This window comes from Homo sapiens, chromosome 3 (genome assembly GCF_000001405.40).
Source record: "Homo sapiens chromosome 3, GRCh38.p14 Primary Assembly".
Classification (NCBI taxonomy): domain Eukaryota; kingdom Metazoa; phylum Chordata; class Mammalia; order Primates; family Hominidae; genus Homo; species Homo sapiens.
In genome coordinates this window covers 147,358,749-147,376,941 of record NC_000003.12, presented here as the reverse complement: position 1 = coordinate 147,376,941, position 18,193 = coordinate 147,358,749, and the positions used below count along the sequence as shown (strand labels likewise).

The 18,193-nt window shown below is 42.5% G+C and overlaps 1 protein-coding gene across 1 annotated transcript, besides 1 other annotated feature; it reads left to right on the top strand.

Moving 5' to 3' along the window:
* The first annotated feature begins 6,485 nt into the window (after positions 1-6,485).
* On the top strand, positions 6,486-14,276 carry LOC124909494 (leucine-rich repeat extensin-like protein 5). The gene is made up of 2 exons (XM_047449442.1): positions 6,486-6,578; positions 6,667-14,276. Exon 2 carries the CDS (start codon positions 11,641-11,643, stop codon positions 12,622-12,624), a length of 984 nt encoding a protein of 327 aa, XP_047305398.1. The 5' UTR covers positions 6,486-6,578; positions 6,667-11,640; the 3' UTR covers positions 12,625-14,276.
* Positions 16,827-17,413: an enhancer, noted in NCBI's record as "H3K4me1 hESC enhancer chr3:147077316-147077902 (GRCh37/hg19 assembly coordinates)". NCBI's record gives its function as "activates a minimal SCP1, AML or CMV promoter by ChIP-STARR-seq in naive H9 embryonic stem cells {active_cell/tissue: H9 hESC(naive)}" and the evidence as "EXISTENCE:reporter gene assay evidence [ECO:0000049][PMID:30033119]".

Genomic DNA, 18,193 nt, shown 5'->3' with positions numbered 1-18,193 from the left:
CATCTTCCTCCAGGAAATTTTCTCCCATTTTGATAACTCCTGACAGGCTGGTGTGCTTGAAAGTTTGGTTCACACAGGACTGATCATAATGACATCTTTTACTTTTCAAAGTTAGCACAGCCCTGTACTTTAGAAAAGAGAAATGGAGAGAAGGAATTACCTCACAAATTTGAAAAAGGAAACATACATTCATCGTGTATCTCCCTCCCAAGAAGCCTTTAATACTTTGCACCTAACAATTCCAGAAAAGAAAAAAAAATTGTTGATAACACACCCTGTGAAATAAGCAAATTGTCATCAAGAAGATTTAATTTTGCAACTCCAGCAAAACATAGTATTCATTTACTATTGTTCTTCAAGATTTTATCTTAAGTTTTAATTTTAATGTCATTATTTTCTTCTATACAAACCATTTTTTAAATAAAAGATTCCCTTTATGATATGTTTTCAATAGTGAAAGTCTCTAAAGATCTATAATATTATTATTTATCTGAATTTTGTAGCTCCGAGGGCTGTATACACCATGTAATTGCTTTAACATGTTTTCATAAATTACATTCAGAAATGTGTCATAGTAAATTACCTTTGTAATAAAATGTAAAAAATGCAAATGGCTGTTGTCTTTATTACGTTTTAAACCATTGGTTTATCTGCACTATTTCACTTGTCACTTGCACAATATGTTGGCTAAAGGGGCGGCACAGTTTGATAACAGAGAGCTAGGTCCTGTGTGTAATCTTGCAGGCATGTACAGTTTGGGTCATTTCCTCATCTCCCGCAGAAAATACATTATCCTGCTCATATTTACATACTTTTCAATATTTGTCAAACAATCATAAATTATAAATTAATGAAATGTTCGACAGTCTTCAGAGATCAGACTAATGAAGACATTTACCTTTTTAGTGATTTTGAGTCTCATCTTTGTAAGTTTAATGACATTTTGGTGCTCACGCTTTATTAGGCTTTATTAGATTTGTCCTTCACTCCCGCTGTCATTCAGATGTCTCTACAGAAACATCACCTGCTTCAGGTATAAGAACAAATCGACTTTGACCAGGAAACATTAAAAACAGGGACTCTGCAACCTTAGTTTTAAAGAATTAATGCCAAGTTGGGTTTAAAAGATCACTGGAAATTTTTACCCTTCTTAAATTTTTTAATGAAACTGCTGTTGTATTTATTTCACCAGCAGACAATAACATGAATACTTCTGCATATGTACAAGCTGATATACTGTGATTTCAAAGTGATTTACAGCAGCATTATCAGAAATGGTAAAGAGCAGCCCTGATCCTGATTTCACCTTTTGAAATTATATGAAATATCATTTGGATTAAGGCTGGGACACACAGTTGCCAAATTATCTCACTAGTCCAAAGGTAGGGAACTAGTTTAGAACTGACACCATTTCATCCAGTCAAGGAAAATAATAACAATAAAAAAAACCCTCCTCCCAAGTGCCACCACACTTTGGGTGCTGCGTTGACCTTGTATCCTCAGAAGAAACCCCAGGTACATGCCTGCTCAACTCAAGATAGAAAAGGGATGGTGGAAGCACCATGTGCCCATGAAGTTGACACATTTTCCTGGAAAATGTTGGCTCCCTATGCTCTCATTATGATTGATGGCCACTGGGCTTTTTAATAAAATTATAGGTGATGAATTTAGTTCAATCCAGAGAGGTCAAATGATCAACCTTGACTTAAGATTTGAATAGCTAATCACATGGAACAAATGCACATTGTCGCCACCCATCCCCAGACAGTGTGGAAGTGAGCTGGGGTTTTGGAGCCATCTGACTCTAAACAAAGGGCAAGGAGCCCAGGAAGTAGGAATGTCAATGTCTCTGTCATCAGGTTGGGTAATTTTATTAGCTCTCTTGCAAATTTCATCAACCCGTGTTAGTACACACTACCCTGTGGGGCTGCCAGACATCTTGCTTTCCTAAGCCTCAACCATGAGGAGTTTTGTAGCATTTGGGATATTGTAGCATTGGTGAAATTGGGAAAGGGGTGCTGGAAGGAGCAGACCACTTCCAGTCCTCACTTATCTTTAAGCGGAAGGAAGTGTGTGTCTTTGTATCTATCTATATATTTATCTATCTACCTGTCTATCTATCTATATCTATCTATCTATCTATCTATCTATCTATCTATCTATCTATCTATCTATCTATCATCTATCTATAGAGAGAGATGGGGCCAGACAATTTTAGAGGCAGTGGCTCAGCTGCATACCTTTATTCTGGTGCACTACATCCTCTTCTGCCAGCCTGGCATTGAGCATAGGGGAGAGGCATTCTCTGCATGGAAGGCAAGAGGAGAACTCCCATTCCCTCTCAGAGCAAGGACTTAGAGTTTAGCCTTTGCCCCTTTATAAAAAACACATCAGGAATAAAACAACAGCCCATTAAAAGCCACAATAAGAACCTATTCAAATGTTGGGAGGGACTTCAAAATATTTCCAAACACTACTTTTTTTTTAATACACAATGGAGAGTTAATAAATGGCTTCCTGGTGCAGGGGACATGGCTTCCGCAATCATGAAAAATTGATATGTACCACTAGTAAAGTAATTATGTGCCATTCTGAGGATAAGGAAGCCAGCAATTGTTAATCCACTTGCACACCCATTGACTTACAACATCAAGTTGCAAATAGCTTAATTAAGTCATACATGTGGACTATAACCATATTGCTCCATTGCATTATGCACAGTATATCTCAATTTATTGGGACAATTAATGCTGAGACCCCACTTCTGGTGGGCTGGAATGTTAGCCACCCAATGCCCAAGTTCCTTTCCATTGATACTGCCCAACATAAAAAGCCACAAACAAGTGAGAATTAAGAGAGAGATGGTGGGTTGGGAGTGGGAACATGATTTGTCTTGTGCAAACTTTTGGGGCCACTGCAGTTGTCCAAATGGAGAGCCACAAAAGGTGAGGTGAAGCAAATGAGTGCTTTGGATATACCACAATTTGTGATTTATGAAACTGCTCATGTATTTAAGTGGGTATAGTTTCTGATAGTTTCATGAAAATTGTAAAGCACAAAGCAAAGTTCATTAGTCATAGAAATCTTCAGCTCAGTAGTTCAGGGATCTGACAGCACAGATATTTAAATCGGCTTCACCCCACTCCCACACATATCTGTCGGGCACAGACAGATTGTTTTTCTGAGTTTAAACTACAGAAACCTTCGAGTTTAAACCCAGTGGATTTTCTTTATCTACAAACAACCAAGACACGAATTTCTATCCAGGAATTTCTCTCTGTCCTATCTCCATTCTTCAGGGTGTGAATATTCCGATAACACTTTCCTGGGAATTCCGTCATCTACAAGGTCAGGAGCCTTAGCAGCAAGGGTGGGGTGGCCAGCAGATGGACTGCTGCAGCCTAAGCAAGCAGCTCTTGCCCCTAGCTTCCCTGGCAGGTGAGAGAGTCCAAAGCCAGGGCTAGTGGCGTTAGACTCTTGATAGTCCCTTCCCTTGAGGACGCTGAGTACCTGCTCAATTTCTAACTTGGGTGCCAGGCAGGGCTCCATTTTGAGTCTGAGGCATGAGATACCCTGGGAGTCGTTGTGGCAGTCAAGATTGGGAAAATATTGACAGAGAGTTTAGTCCTCACTGACTCCTCAGTTCTGGTAGAAACCGGGATCAACCATTCTGAACTTCAAACATTACAAATAAGTGGGGGAACTCCAAGAGGAGAGGTTAAAGAACCTCTCCTCTACGTGTCACTAAATGCTGGTTGAAGTAAGCCGGCCCCAAATATAGTGGGTTTTTTTTTTTTTTAGCTCCTTTGTCCTACAATATGAGGTCATTAATTTTGGCAGTGTATTTTAAAGGTGTGCCTTGGGTTCCGAGCTGCAGTTGTGCCTCCTTTTCTCAGGTCTGGGAGCAGCTGGAGGTGGCGACTCCCACTCAGGAACCAAACTCTCCCTACCCAGACCCCCAGCAGTCCTCCTGGGAGAAGAGGTTTCTTCCCGGCATTCTCTGCAAAAAAATACTTGAGTGGGAAGACTTGAGATGTGAACTTGAAGTAGGCTGGGTGCGCTGGCGGGATCCTCAGTCGCCGCGACGTCTTCCTCTGGTTCTCTTATTTTACTTCCCAAAAGTGGAAAAGTGAGCGCCTTGTCTTCCAAAAGAGCTTCTCCAGTCCATCTTTAAAGGTTTCTTCCAGTGTCGGGGCATCTTTGAGAGACCAGGTTGGGGATATCCTCAGGTATTCCAGGGGGCTCTGCAGCCCAGCGCAAGGGAAGGAGGGAGTTGCCCAGACCCGACTGGGTCGCGTCTCACACGATCAGGGAGAGCCTCTCAGCTTGAGGGCTTGATCCCAGTCGGGGAGAGGCTCTTACCTTGTGAATTTGATTCCAGAATGGTAGAGGTGCAGGAAGGGCTCTCGGTGTCCAAACCTGGACACTTTTCAATCTTCAGAGCTAATAAGAGTGAGGGCATGGGTCCGAGGAACCGCTCGTTGGGAATCTATATTTTGTGGTATTATCTCAGCAAAATCTACTTCAGCATTTATAATCAAAACAACAACAGTGGCAACATCCACAACACACGAGTATTTACTGTGGATTTGCTGGAAATGCTTTGTACTCACAGTCCTGTTTAAAACAAACAAAAAAATGATTTGAAACAGATTTTATTTCATGACTATTTTACAGACGAGAAAATGGAGGGTTGAGGTAGTGGTTAAAAAACTTTGCTGGGGTCACTCAGCCTGAAAGTGGCAGAGCAGGCACTTGGAGTAGTGCACTGCCAAATGGTCCACTGTTTTCTTTCTTTGGACTGCCTGTCCCCTGTAGAAAGGCTGGGGCTCAGAAAATCCAGGTCAGAGCGATTGCCTCCCCTTTCATTCCTGCAGGTTCTTTGAAGCCAGTGTCACCCCAATGTTAACCTTCAACCTGCAGGATCTCTCTGGCCCCCGCTCCCACCATACCCCCAAATCCTTGCCAGTGGGTGATTGGGGAGGAGTGGTCTTCTGGGCTGAGGGTCCTCAAATTGCCAAATCCTTTTGAAAACTTGCCCCTTACCACACTGTTCCTTAGCCTGGAGAGCTGTGTTTACATGTGGGTAGGGTTCGTTCGGAGGCCTTCCTGGAAGTGGTAGCCAAACTCCCACACCAGACTAAATCCCGTCAGGGCTGGCGCTGAAAAGTGGGATCCTGGGTGGCTTCCAATGCCCACCCCCCACCCCCCACCCCTCCCACCACCCAACCTCTTCTCCTTCCTTCCTTTCCAAAGGAAGGGCCTCAGGCTATAAGTTTGATCTTCCTTTAGACTTTCGAAGTAAGCTTCCAATTCCTTTACCTCACTCTCCCCCCTCCTCACTTTTTTCTGCTTTGCCAACATCCGAATCCAAGAAAATGGCTCAAATAGGATGCAGATTAACTTCATAGTTCCCATTCCAAAGTCTGGGAAGCCACGGTGATCACCTCAGTTTGTGTGTTCCTCATTCCTAAGAAAATTATGGGGAGAAGTGCTGATGAATTTACCGGGAATAACAAGGCTCTGCAGTTGCGATTACAGGAGAGGGAAGGATCCATGAGGGGGCAAGGTTGAGAGTGACCAGGCTCTTCTAGTTTTCCCCAGTTGTGGTACGGAATGGGAGGGGTTGGAATGAATATATTCGTCCTTATATTCAAAAGCCACAGGTGGCCTGAGAGGTCAAAGGCTGCGGGATTTGAACCTGGAACCGAATGGTGGCCTGCAATGAACCCGCCTACCGCCTCAGGCGTTCGCTTCACTCCAGGCTGCTGGCGCTGGAAAGTTTAACTTTATTATCAAAGGGGAAATTGAAAAGTGACTTCTGCAAATCCCAAGATGGGGTTTCACCAGCAACTTCTAGGGTGGGAAACCAAAAGTGAGGTGGAGAAAAGAGCTAGGAAATCAATTGAAAAAAAAAAAAAAGAAAGAAAGAAAACAAAAAAGATACACGCGGGATTAAATAAACTAAGAGGCTCGCCGGTGGAATTCTATATCTGGGGTTTGAAACCGAGAGGGTCCCTCTACCTTTGGCCATCTGGCTGTTTTAAACTCTGCCCCATGCTGTATAATTTTAGCTGAAAATCTCTTCCGTTGCAGCTTTGCTTTTATTGAATTCATCAAAAGCAAACTTTCCCTGAGTTTTTTTTTTTTTTTTTTTTTTTTTTTTTTTTTTTTTTTAAGAAGGGCTAAAATAATACGCCGACCACTGTGACATTCTCCGCGCCCAGGCCATTTTTCATAACGCCGCAGATCCGCTTTTGTGCCTCTGAGGCGACTAAACAGATGAATAACGAGCAAAGTCTCCCGAAAGTAAGCTAGCAGCTTTTCTCAGCTCGAAAAAAGTTAACTGAAATGAGAAGTGCATGTAAAATCCCCACACCCAAAGATGGGGGCTACACTTTTATTACTCTGAAGGACAACGATGTCTTTTTAAAAGCAACTAACTGCCCACATCCGCACACGCGCGCGCGCGCACACAAGCACACACACACACACACATTTGCTCACACAAACCACACAAACTTTAAGCCTTGTGAAGCTGCCCAGGTGGTGTGTAGGAAATTTTGGTAGAGAAAGAAGTAAGAAGTCTTTGAGGCAGACTCTAGCCGGCAAGATATGACAAAAGATCTGGTTTTATTATTTTTTTAATTTATTATTTTTTCGCAGATAGTTTGAAAGTTGGTTTCTGACAAGAGGAAAGAAAAGGCTGCAACACTAAAGGAAGACTCAAAGTGTTAAAAGGACGCTCAAAATGTAGTATTGTGGCAGGTCGGGGTAAGTTATATTTTCTTCTGTTTTCTCTTTGGTTTTGGAACGCAGTGAAAATGCACTGTGGGGAGTTTTTCTGTTGTTTTTAAGAAATGAAATAATACTCCAAGCTCCCTCCTAGGATGACTTCCTCCTGCGACTTTGCTCTGTTTTTGTGGGTGTTCTACAGAGAGGCGCTTTCTCCTAGAGCCCTGTCATCATAGACCCAGAGGCCCTCAAATTCTGAGTGGCCAGGGTTTGGAGAGCCGCTTTCGGGTCGCAGAGGCAACAAGTCGTGGACTCTCTAGCCCCAGGCAAGCGCCGCACCGCGCCGCAGCTGAGCCTGTGGCTCGCCTGACTCAGGAATGAATTTTGCACGTGTAAACTACTTGCCTGTGGATGCGCACAGCTGCGACTCTGGGGTTTATCAAGGGAAAAAAACTATTCCTTTAAATGGACGATTTGCAAAAACTCAGCCATTGGTTCTTGCCAAATGACTATTGATGCAGAGTAAACCCTACCGGTTGGTGCGTGCGCACGTTTGTTTAACCCTAAAAATATTCCACTTCCGAGTTGCTCAAGTTGACATCCACTTGAAATCATTTGTATTTTTTTTTAGGGGCTGGAAAAATAACTGGCATTATCTGTGGGAGACGGTGTAGATATATTGGTGGGGGAGGCATATTTCACTGGAAAGTGATGCCCTGTATTCGCTGAACGTAGGGAAGTGTCCCAAAGAAACGCGGCTCCCAGTGCGCGCGCATACCACATTTCCACAAACGTGTGTTACAAATGCACTTTCCTGCCACTAACCTGCAGCTTTGAGATTCGATTCTGAGGTTTAAATAATATTGTTTTTCTGCATGGCATGGATATTCAGACGCCAGCAATGAGCAATCCTTCATTTGAGTACCTGCAAGCGTCTGCAGCAAGCTAGATTTTATTTATTATTATTAGCTTTCTGCTACCAGAAACGTGGAATAAACATGTGCTGCCCCAGAAATTGGGCGGAGCTGATCCAGATGTTGGCAAACACGTCTTTACCAGTTGTATTTCTGAGGAAGCCCAGAGAAATGGATCAGAGAGCCGAAGAGAAATTGACAAGGGAGCTGATCAGAGGCGATTTTGTTCATTAGCAGGAGCGACTCCTGCTTTGGGTCTGGCGGGGGCGAGCATATAAAATGCAACTTTTGCCCCATTGGTTCGCTAGGTGAATTAGCACATACTGGGACTGAACAGTCCTTGACCTTTGCCTTTATGTTTGCGCAAATGTTTGCCTAAAACACAATCGGTCTTGACAAGAGAGCATGCTACCGTGTGACACTGCCTATTCACCAGATAGATGTTCCCTGCCACACACGACCCAGAGCAGCCTTTTAAATAGCTTAGGTATTTGCACAAACTGTATAAATTAATGTCGGATGATTGCTAGTTGCTGGTTAAATAGGAGAGAGATGATTTAGATGAGGAATACATGTATCTCTCTGGCATTTTTTTTCTTGCCAAAAAAGTCGGTAAGATAACTGATAGCGAAGGAAAGTTTATGTTTGTGGGAGTCAAAAGGTTCTTGTTTGATCAAAGGGCACATGAATGTAGTTTTCTTACAAATGGCTTTTCCACAAAGATGGGGAGTGGATGAAGGAAGAGGAGAGATGGAGAGTGGAGAAAGCTGTGAGAAACTAATAATTAGGATAACTGGTAATGGGGAGGTTTAGAATATGATTCTGGAGGATTTATTGTTCCTAAAGGAGCCATGGCCAGCCAGCAGCCTCTCAGTGCTCTGGAAACCCCATGAAACTTGGGGGGAAGTTATCCCGATTACTGAGCTTTATGGCTTTGAACTCTTCCTTCAGTAAAACCAAATACTTTAGCAGGAGGAGAAAAGCACCTTTTAGAATCTAAAATTGGTTTAAGTCTTTTAAACCTCTCACTATAGATGTGAAATTATTTAGATAACTGGGCTGCCTTTTCCCGAACTTTGACATAGGAGCAAAATGAACTTTCCTTAACTGTGGTTTCTAGCTGAGATCAGAATTTTCCACATTCCTTTCATTATCTGCAACATGGTAAAACCTCACCAATTTCCATGGCTCAATTCTGTTGGCAGGACTACCAAGACAGGGAGAGCAAATTAAGAAAAATGAGGATATTTTCAATATTCTTTCAGGGAGGTTCATTCCCTTGAAAGAGAGGAGTATTTACTTCTTTCAGTCCAAGGGATGCAGTAGACGAGGGTAGCACCAACTCATGCCACAGTCTGGGAATGCAGATTTGAATGTCTGAAAGCCACTGTGATTTCTCCAAACATTTGCAAGGTATTTTTCAGATTTCCATGAACTGTATTCAGGTGGAGAAGAGGGAGGGTTCACCAGTTCTCCCTTGGAAATCCTTTCTCTTGATCCCTGGGCAAAATTTGCCTTCTCTCTGTTGGGCTATGGAGACTTTCAGGGTAGGAGAAAGTTTGTTTAAAAGCCATGTTCCACATTGACTTTAGGTACAGCACAAAAGTAGCAGAAAGGTAAAAACATCAATCTTAGAATGAAAAAAATAATACGTTTATGAACAAGCACCTAGAATAAAATTAAGGGGACTCTCTCCATTTTTCAATAATCTCCATAATAATTTCTTAACTAACAGAAATAATTTGTTAAGTTATTCTTATTTCTTACTTACTTAACAATGTAATAAGTATGAACTACTTCAAAACACTTTTTTAAGGTAGATGCAAAACGTCTACCTTAAATGTCTGTGCATTTTGGCTTTAGGTTCAGCAATATGGGCAACTAAATATACATAAAAATCATATTTCAATTCTCAGAGGGTATTTGTCCGTTTTATTAAGTGTATGCACAACTGCTTTTTCAAAGTTGTTTTATTTTAAAATAAAATGATTCTAAATGTTCTCTTCTCTTTGCTATGTACCACATCCTACAATCTTCAGAAAATTTAGGAATTAAAGACATAGAAAGGCAAATATTAGGGTTCTATTCTCTGGGATATCCTACAGTGACATAGTGTAGGCAAGGCAGCAATATGTTTCTAGCCTTTTCTTCCCTGTACCTGGGGTTGTGATGGGTTAAGTTTATTCAGGGTTATGAGTAAATTGGGACCTAGAATCTACAATCCATGATGATGAATACAAGGGACTTAGATTTAAATCTAGTTGTTACAAAAATCAGCTTAGGAATTCAATAAATTTCCAAATTTGCACAATTTGAAACAGAAACATTTTTAAAAATCATTAGAAAAAAATCTGCATATTATATAAAACGTATCTCACATATATTCTATCCATCAAAAATTCAAGTACTTACTCCATTCATTTAATTATAGTAACTACAATTGAAGATAAAAGTTGGTTAGTTCCATTTTTTGCTGACAGACATCTATTAATAGAGTTTGTGCATATTTTTGGCCAGAGCTAAAAATACCATTAAATGTTTATATTGTGAAATCTGTCAATGGTTTTACCTAGAAGTGTTCAAGAGAACATATAGTGACTTATTGATATCAATAAAGACACAGCACAATTGCCAGAAGTGTTCTTATTCAAACAAATAACACAAATTAAATAAGGAAGAAAGGAGGAAAAAATATTTTTATACTTTATAAAATATAAGTATATTCATAATTGAAAAATTAAGGTAATTGATTTATTCTTATAAGAGTTGAGTATGTGACAGTTGTCTATTGAAAAATTGTTTGCATATAAAATTAATATTTCTTAAAGGTAAAATGATTGCACTTACAAGACACCATAACTGTAAAATTTGTTAGATGACTCTAGTACACATTAACTTCTATATAAATAATATTCTTACTGACTGGATTATAAAATGACACCTACTATAGTCTGTGAAGTTTTTACATTTTTACTATGCATTGAAATTAAAGTGAAGAAGTAAAGTCAGATTATAGGACTTGGAACTATCCGAGAGAGCCAAGAGGAAGTACCCTGTTTGCATTGTATTTCTTCCAAGGTAGTTATTTCCCCCTAATATATGTAGATGAGGCTTGTATTGTTCTAAAAATCCTCAACAATTATTTGCTATTAATTTAACTCCACTTTGTAAGTAAAAATTTAGAGATGCTTTGGAGTCATGTGTATTTAACTAGCAAGTACTGAACTTAATTGGAATAGCCCAGAGATTCCACTTCCAGGTCCTTTGTCTGTGCCTATGAGTAGGCAGGCCATGCTAGAGTCGGGGTTCAGAGAACAGTCATTCTCTGGTGGCTTTCTTGGTACAGAGAAATACAGTTCTCATCCCCCGTTTTGATTCACAACTTCTGACCAATAAATTGTGCTCTGATTTCCCATGCCTATTGCATCTACCACCACCCTGCCCTAATCACCTGCTCTTGACAAAGAGAGTGCAGAAGCTGAGGCAGTATAGTTCAGGGACTGGATTCCAGAGGGGCATTTGGAAGAAGCCACACCAAGCTTTGGAAAGCAAGTGAGATTTGTGATCTTGATGCTTAGAAATCTTTCCTATGGGCAGTCTTGGAAAATCTGGGATTTCGAGAAGTCTGGGCCCCCATTTTAATCTTCTTTGGTGTAAAAACTGTGAATTCAGAGTTAAAGAAGGGGGAAGGAGCATTGCAGCCTTTAGAGAGGGGTTCAGGGCCTGAAGACCTGAAAAGTTCCCACACTTCATTCGCACCTGACATTTCAGGAGCCCCTTAATTTAGTCACAGAAGTTGATGCCCACAGGGAGCGAGAATTTGGCAGGTACCAGGTGCTTCAGCAGGACTCGGGCTCATTCTCTGATTTAGCTAAAGCTGTCTGGTGAGGGAACAAGGGGTCATAAGTATGCTGTTTGTTTGTTTGTTTGTTTGTTTTGTTTTTGTTTTTCATTTGTTTTGTTTTGTTTTTAGCTCCTGACCCTCATTCATATGTCAGATCCCCATTTCCCTTACCCTTCACTCCCTTTGTCAGTAGCTTGGAAGACTGTGGAGCCCTCTTGCTTTCTCCCACTCCACCCTCCTCTCACCTTCCCCCACCCTCTTTTACTGTCTCACACCACCTCACCTTTCCATACTCCGTCAACCCTTCTTAAACCTCACCTTCTCACACTCATAGCCCCTCATATTCTCTTCTACCCATCTCCCCCTCTAAACCCCTACTACTCCTCATCCTCCACTTCCACAGAATCCCACAAATCCCTCACATCTACTTCATCCTCCTCACTTCCCTCAGACAATTTGCCACCTCCAATCTCTTCATCTCCACAGCCTACACTCTCACACATTCTCTCAAAGCCCCCAGACTCTTCTTGCCCACTCACAATTAGAACCTCACTCACTCTTTCACATCAGTCACCTCCCCATGCCTTCATATCCCACAAGGTGTCTCCAGGCATCCCTTCCCCCCAACTCTTACACCCACCATATTCACATCCTCTATACCTTCCACACATACTTCACCTTCAGACTCCTACTCCCAGTCAGGCACACAAGTCATCTCCCCCTGCCTTTTCCTGGGTGGTATCTGAACTCCTCAGTCTGTGTTGGAGAACCTTGCCTCAAGTGTCTTCCCCTCTGACTCTTCCTTCCATAACTTTCTTCCCTACCAGAGTGTCAGCATATCCCTCTCTGGAGTTCTCTTTGGAGAAGAGCACATGGCTATCTCCCTTTCACTTTTTTCACTCACCAGGGCTCGTAGTCACAGCAAAGTGGGACTGGGAACCTAAACAGTTGTCCCCTAGATCCAGTGCTGGGCTACGTGTGGATGGGAAGCCAGGGCCGCTCATTGGCTGCTCTGTTCTCAGCCCTCAGCTTCAGAGGGCTTGTCCTTGTCTTTCCTCCCAGATTTGTTTTCAGTCTTCAGGGATACAAACTCCTACATTCAACATTTCCATTAGCAGGGTGAGTGGGTAGGAAAGATTCTTTAAACTGGAGATTCTCCAATTTGATCAAGGTTTAGAATCACCCAAAGTTTGTTTAAAAACAAACAAAATAAAACATAACTAGAAATTGCTTGGCCCCATTTTAACAGTTTATGTGAATTTACATTTCTAATAAGTTCCCAGGTGATGCTGGGACCACATTTTGAGGCAATTTGAGCAATGTTCAGCAGGAGGAAGTGACTCTATTTGTACAGTGAGAAGACACAGGGAGATCCATAGAACTCAGAGGTTCAAGAGGAGAATGACACTCAGTGGATAGATGGGAACAGTTTCCTAAAAATGTCCTAAATGAGAAGGTACTTTGACAGTAGGTTTTATTCTACAAGGTTAGGGCTTTTTCTATGAGAGGAAGGGAGGAAGAAAGAAGACTGTGCCTAGGACATCTCCTTTCCTAAGCTCTCGCTGACCATTTAAAATGAAGCTAAGATGTTTAGAATTTGTAGGGGACTGGGTCTTGAGTCACTGAAAGTGCTAGTCACTCTGTTTAGGTTTATTGTTTTTGAGCCTCGGGATCTGTGTGTGTGTGTGTGTGTGTGTGTGTGTGTGTGTGTGTGTAGGCTTGCTCTCTGCCTTTGCATTTAAGTTTCATTCAAAATGGATGGAACCACTCAGGCCCTACAGAATCACCTTTTCTAGCCTAGGTAGTGGTTACTATGGTTACTTCCTGTTTCCTTTCCATGTGCCTATGACCAGACCTCACAGATATCTCCCTTCAATTCTCCCTGAGGGCTAAAAGGTGGCCCAGAAACTTTTGGCCAGTTAACATTCTGCCTTATCAATTGTCTAGGGAGTAGTTTTCTAAATTTATTTGGAACTGCAAAGGTAAATAAATGAAGGAAAAAATACATAAGAGAGAAAAGGTCAAGTTCTTCAAACTGGAACTTTCTTGTGTGTGTGCGTGTGGATATGTCTATGGTACATTTAACCAGTAAGAGAACACATACCATAAGCAGTCATGTTGCTAGACAAAAGTTTTCTTTGATTTTGTATTTGAATTTACTTAACAACATAAATTTTAAATACTAATCCTGGTCACTTGGGCCAAGAACATTTATATATTTTTCTCCCAGCTGATTTTATCAACAGTTTTCAATCTCATTTTCTCAAGACTTTTAGGCCAAGGCAGAATTTTCTAGCCTTCCTTTGGAGATCAGGATCCAGAGATTAGAGTTCTGGGATCTTGGCAAGGGTTTGTACTACTTTTTCCATGATGTTTGCAAATCCCTAGCAACAATTCTGCATTCTAATTTTTTTCCTCCTTTCTTTGTACATCACAAATAATTACACTGTTCAAACATGGCTTAGAAAAAAACACAGTTACATTAACATGTCTCTTCTACAATTTTGTTTTAGAAATGACTAGAATTTTCTGGTAATTCATAGTTTTTCTCCTGGTTTAAAAACAAAAATATTTAAATTTTATCTTGCCAAATGTCTATCATTTGTTAGCACATTTTGCTTGCTGTCCTTCAGCCTCTGAAGTTTATGGACATTATTAAAATGTTTGGGGGATCATCAGCACACCAGTTCCTTGAGAAAATGTTGGGATAGGCTTTACACTATACAATCCAGTTGTTCAGAATTGAAAGGTTTTCAAGTTGAGTTTGCTTTTCTTTCTCTTACTTTACAATCCCTTTTTGTATTTTTTATTTTATTTCGAATAGAAGCTTTTGCCAAGGTTATTTTTAATATAGAAAAAGTAGCCGAAAAATTGGATACTAAATGTCGAATCCAAACTGAGTAAATTTTTGAAGTATGCAGTATCCATATTTCCCATTGACTTAAAATAAAAATGAATGTAATTCAAATCTACTTGTGTTTTTTTTTTGTTGTCTAAATAGAATATTCAATGTGACAAAATGAATCTATAAATATGTGATCTGCATAGTAGACACAGACACAACCAGTTCAATAATGATTGATACTATTTTTAAGTAGTGGGTGCTGAATACATTATCTAAAGAAATGCTCTGAGCATCTGAAGGTTGAGGATCTTACAGTGATCTTAGTTCTGAGAAAATGGCTCATGTATGTTTCGGCTCAGTGTTGGTCTCACTAGCAATAAGTTGTGGCAAATGACATCTGACCATAATGATAATATTAATGTTACTGTCCCTTTGGAAAAGAAAAGTTGAATTCAGTATCTGTTTGCTTTGGCATTATTTTTCCAGCCATCTAACCATCCTTTATGGTACAGTGTGGCTGTTGTTTCTGGAGTTGTAGTGTCTACCCACTCCCTTCTCTCTGGGTAAACCTCCTCTCGCGCCCCCTAGCGGAGGGTTTGGCAGTGCAGAAGCAACAACCACCAGCGATTATTTATTGAACACCTGCTGTGCGCCAAGCACTGTGGAGGAAGCTGTAGCTTGTCTAGATCTGGGTGGGGTCTAATGCCACGCACAGGCTCTGTAAAATGATTTAAGACTGAGCAGATATTCTAGCTCTGGGTCCTTGTGGCTCCTCACCTGGGGGCCTCTTCAGAGCCCTCACTCACGTTGCACTTGGAGCCTGACTGGAGGCATTTCTGGCTATCAGAATTTCCCAGCTATAGTTAGTTTGGGATGGAGAGGCTTGCTGCTCCTTGGCGGGCCTGGTTATAATTTGTGTCCTCTTGTATAGAGCTGTCCAGTTTGACCTGTAGCTACAACCAATCCTGGATCAGCATTGTCAGACCTCGGTTCCACCACACTCTGTTTGAAGAGCTCCATTTTGTGCAGTGGCAGTCACAACAAAACTCAACTTTCCTCTGTGACTTTGTTCTTTTGATTTTTAATAGATCAAAGACGTGGAGGGAGGAAGGAAAAGCGGGGGTGGGGGGGAGAAGAGGAGGGGTAGGGATTGTTTTCGTGTCAAGATGCATCTCCCATTTGAGGCCACTAGCCCCATTAGAAGAGAAAAGTGCACGGAAAAGGGCGAGAAACCTGCACTTGGCTCGGCATTGTTTAGGGGATTCGAGCTGCGGCCGCCGTGGCCGCCGCCACAGCCATACAGTACAGTATCCATGGCAACGCAACCTGCTGCTGCCGCCGCCAAAGTTGAAGGCGCTTGAAAGGCTTGTAGAGACCAGAATCTCAACCCCTATTTTGGTTCCCCCGAGAACAACGGAGAGAAAATGAGGCAGGGAAAGAAAGGAGGAGGAAAGGAGGAAGGAGGGGGGAGGGAAAGTAGGAGAGGAGAAAAAGAGAGAGAGGGAGGGAGGAAATATTTGTATGAATGAGAGGGACTAAGAGAGAATATGAGAGAGAGGGAGGGAGAAGGCCAAGAGAAACCCCACTCCAGGCCCATGAATGCTGGCATTGTCCCTTTTCTGAATCTGATTTACCATATCATAACCCCCAGGAAGAAGAAAACATCAATATCCCAAAGGAATGGAGATGTTTCTATGGAAAACCTAGGAATTTTAGTCCATAACAGATCTGGCATAAAAAAATCAAAGAGATCAAAGGCAGAGCTCCCTGGAGTAGAGATGCGTCTCTGAATTAAAGATGGACGATGCAGACTACAAAGTGCTTTTTTCTTCTTTATCCAGTCCTCTGTTTCCATTTCAAGGGAGGCGCTGGTCTCGTCATATCTAAACTAGACAGTCATTGCGAACAATGTCATAAAGAGGATAAAAGAGGGAGTGGGGGGCACCAAGAGCTCAGCTTCCTCTGTCCTAGTTGGTTTTCCAACCACCTTCTCCAGCATTCTCAGCACAGGTGTCAGCCAAGCCCCACTCATAGAAGGAGCTTGTGGAAAAGCCCACCCCTACCTTCAAGTCTGTAGGGGCAGTTAGGAAAAATTAGATTCTCTGAAATCAGGGGATGAGAAGTGGTATTAGGTTGTTTTCTTGCCTTACCAAATTAAACTTGGGACAATATCAAAGGCTCTGTGTGGCAGTTCTGGGATGGGGAGGAGAGAGCAGGATCTTCAGGCCCAGATGGGGACTGGAGTGGGGGACAGAGTGCCCTAGGTCAGGGGAATTCGGGTCAGCCCCAATAGCTGTCTTTGCAGACATGGGTTCCTCGCAGCTCTTCTGAGACAGAGGCCGCAAAGAGGGAGACATTCCTGTTGGGGGGCGGTGGTCTAGTTAAGTAAGACATCTCCTTGCCAGACAGCCTTTCAATTTGCACATCTAAGAAACCAATACATCTCTAAATGTGTTTTAGACACTGACAAGAAAGACTAGGTGACTTCTAGTTTGAGGGCAAAGCTTATTTTAAACTGTTGAGGGTTTTATTGACCTTTGACTCGTAATGTGATTACCTAGTGATTTTAATTCTTTTTAAACCTAAAGTCGAGTTGAGTTAGGTATCATGATGCTCGGGTGTGTCAGTAGAAGTGCACGGAAAGGAATAGACCAGCAGCAGCCCCAGATGAAGGTCTTCTCCACGTGCACAAAGATAATTCTCTGGCCTGGCTCACAACGTGTTCGTGTTTGTTCCCGTGCGCGTCTGCGGGGCGGCTTGTGGGCCTGTTGTCCGGCTTCTTTCTGACCGTACTTACGGCTGGCAAATTAAAACAATAAATTTTCTAAAGCTGAAGCCTATCCGCTTCCTCTGGAAAGAAGAAAAGATAATCAGCGAGGCGGACGGGACCTGCGTGTGGGGAGCCAAACCTCCAGAGGCCTCGGGTCTTTGCCCAGCGAGTCTCCCCTCAAATTTCCCTAAAGCCAGCGTCAGCAGATGAATATTCGAGAAGTCAGTTAAGTTGTTTGCAAACACGTGCTGGCTAGCGCGGCGAACGGAGGACAGAAAGCCTGTTCCCAGGGTGGAATCAGCATCTGTACTGGCCGCAAGCAGCCCTGGGGTCAGACCCGACACTAAGTAAACAGCGACGCGGTCGAGGGGCTCCTTTGTAGCGGCCGCAGCTGTCCGGTCATTTATTGTCCAGCCAGGACTGGGGTCTGGGGCGCTGCCCTGGCGCCAACTCTGTGCACAAAAACATACCGGGGAGGGCTACACGCATGGCCGCCCCCAGGCCGCCAGACCTTCTCTTTCTGTCTCCCCTTCAGCATCCTGCACCATGCAGGCAGTTTTTCTCCTTAAGTAACAAAGCACCGGTGTAAAAACTCCAGCACCTGGCGGGAGGAGGAGAAAGGGAAAAAGACCTCCCTTCCCAGTGGAGGTGGAAAGAACAGAAGCACAGGACAAAATAACAGGAGGGTTGGAAATCGAAATAAAACTGATAGCAAGAATGATATTGAATGATCTTGTTAACCAGATTTTTTTTGTCCCAAATTGTATGTCTTGGAGAAGTTAGTGAGTGTGTCCGATGACAGAGAAGGAGGAACAGGGACGAGGCAATGATTTTCCTGAGCCAAGGGGTTGGGGTGGCATAGTCTTGGGTCTTGATGGCTCACTCAGGGGGCCCTATAGAAACGCCCCCAAGGATTCAACCACCTGGGAGGCTCTTTACTTCTGGTATTTCTCCTAAGGATGAAACTTGCAATTCAAACACTCTCGTTGCCGATTCTCTCCTCCCGCACCGCTCTTACCTCCACTCCCACATTCCCCTCCCAGCAAGGTTAGCGCACTGGAAGCAATGTGAAGGGGCTGTGGGGA

Excerpts from the sequence above, each read along its gene's own strand:
- LOC124909494 (XM_047449442.1), top strand. The coding sequence starts at position 11,641 with ATGTCAGATCCCCATTTCCCTTACCCTTCACTCCCTTTGTCAGTAGCT.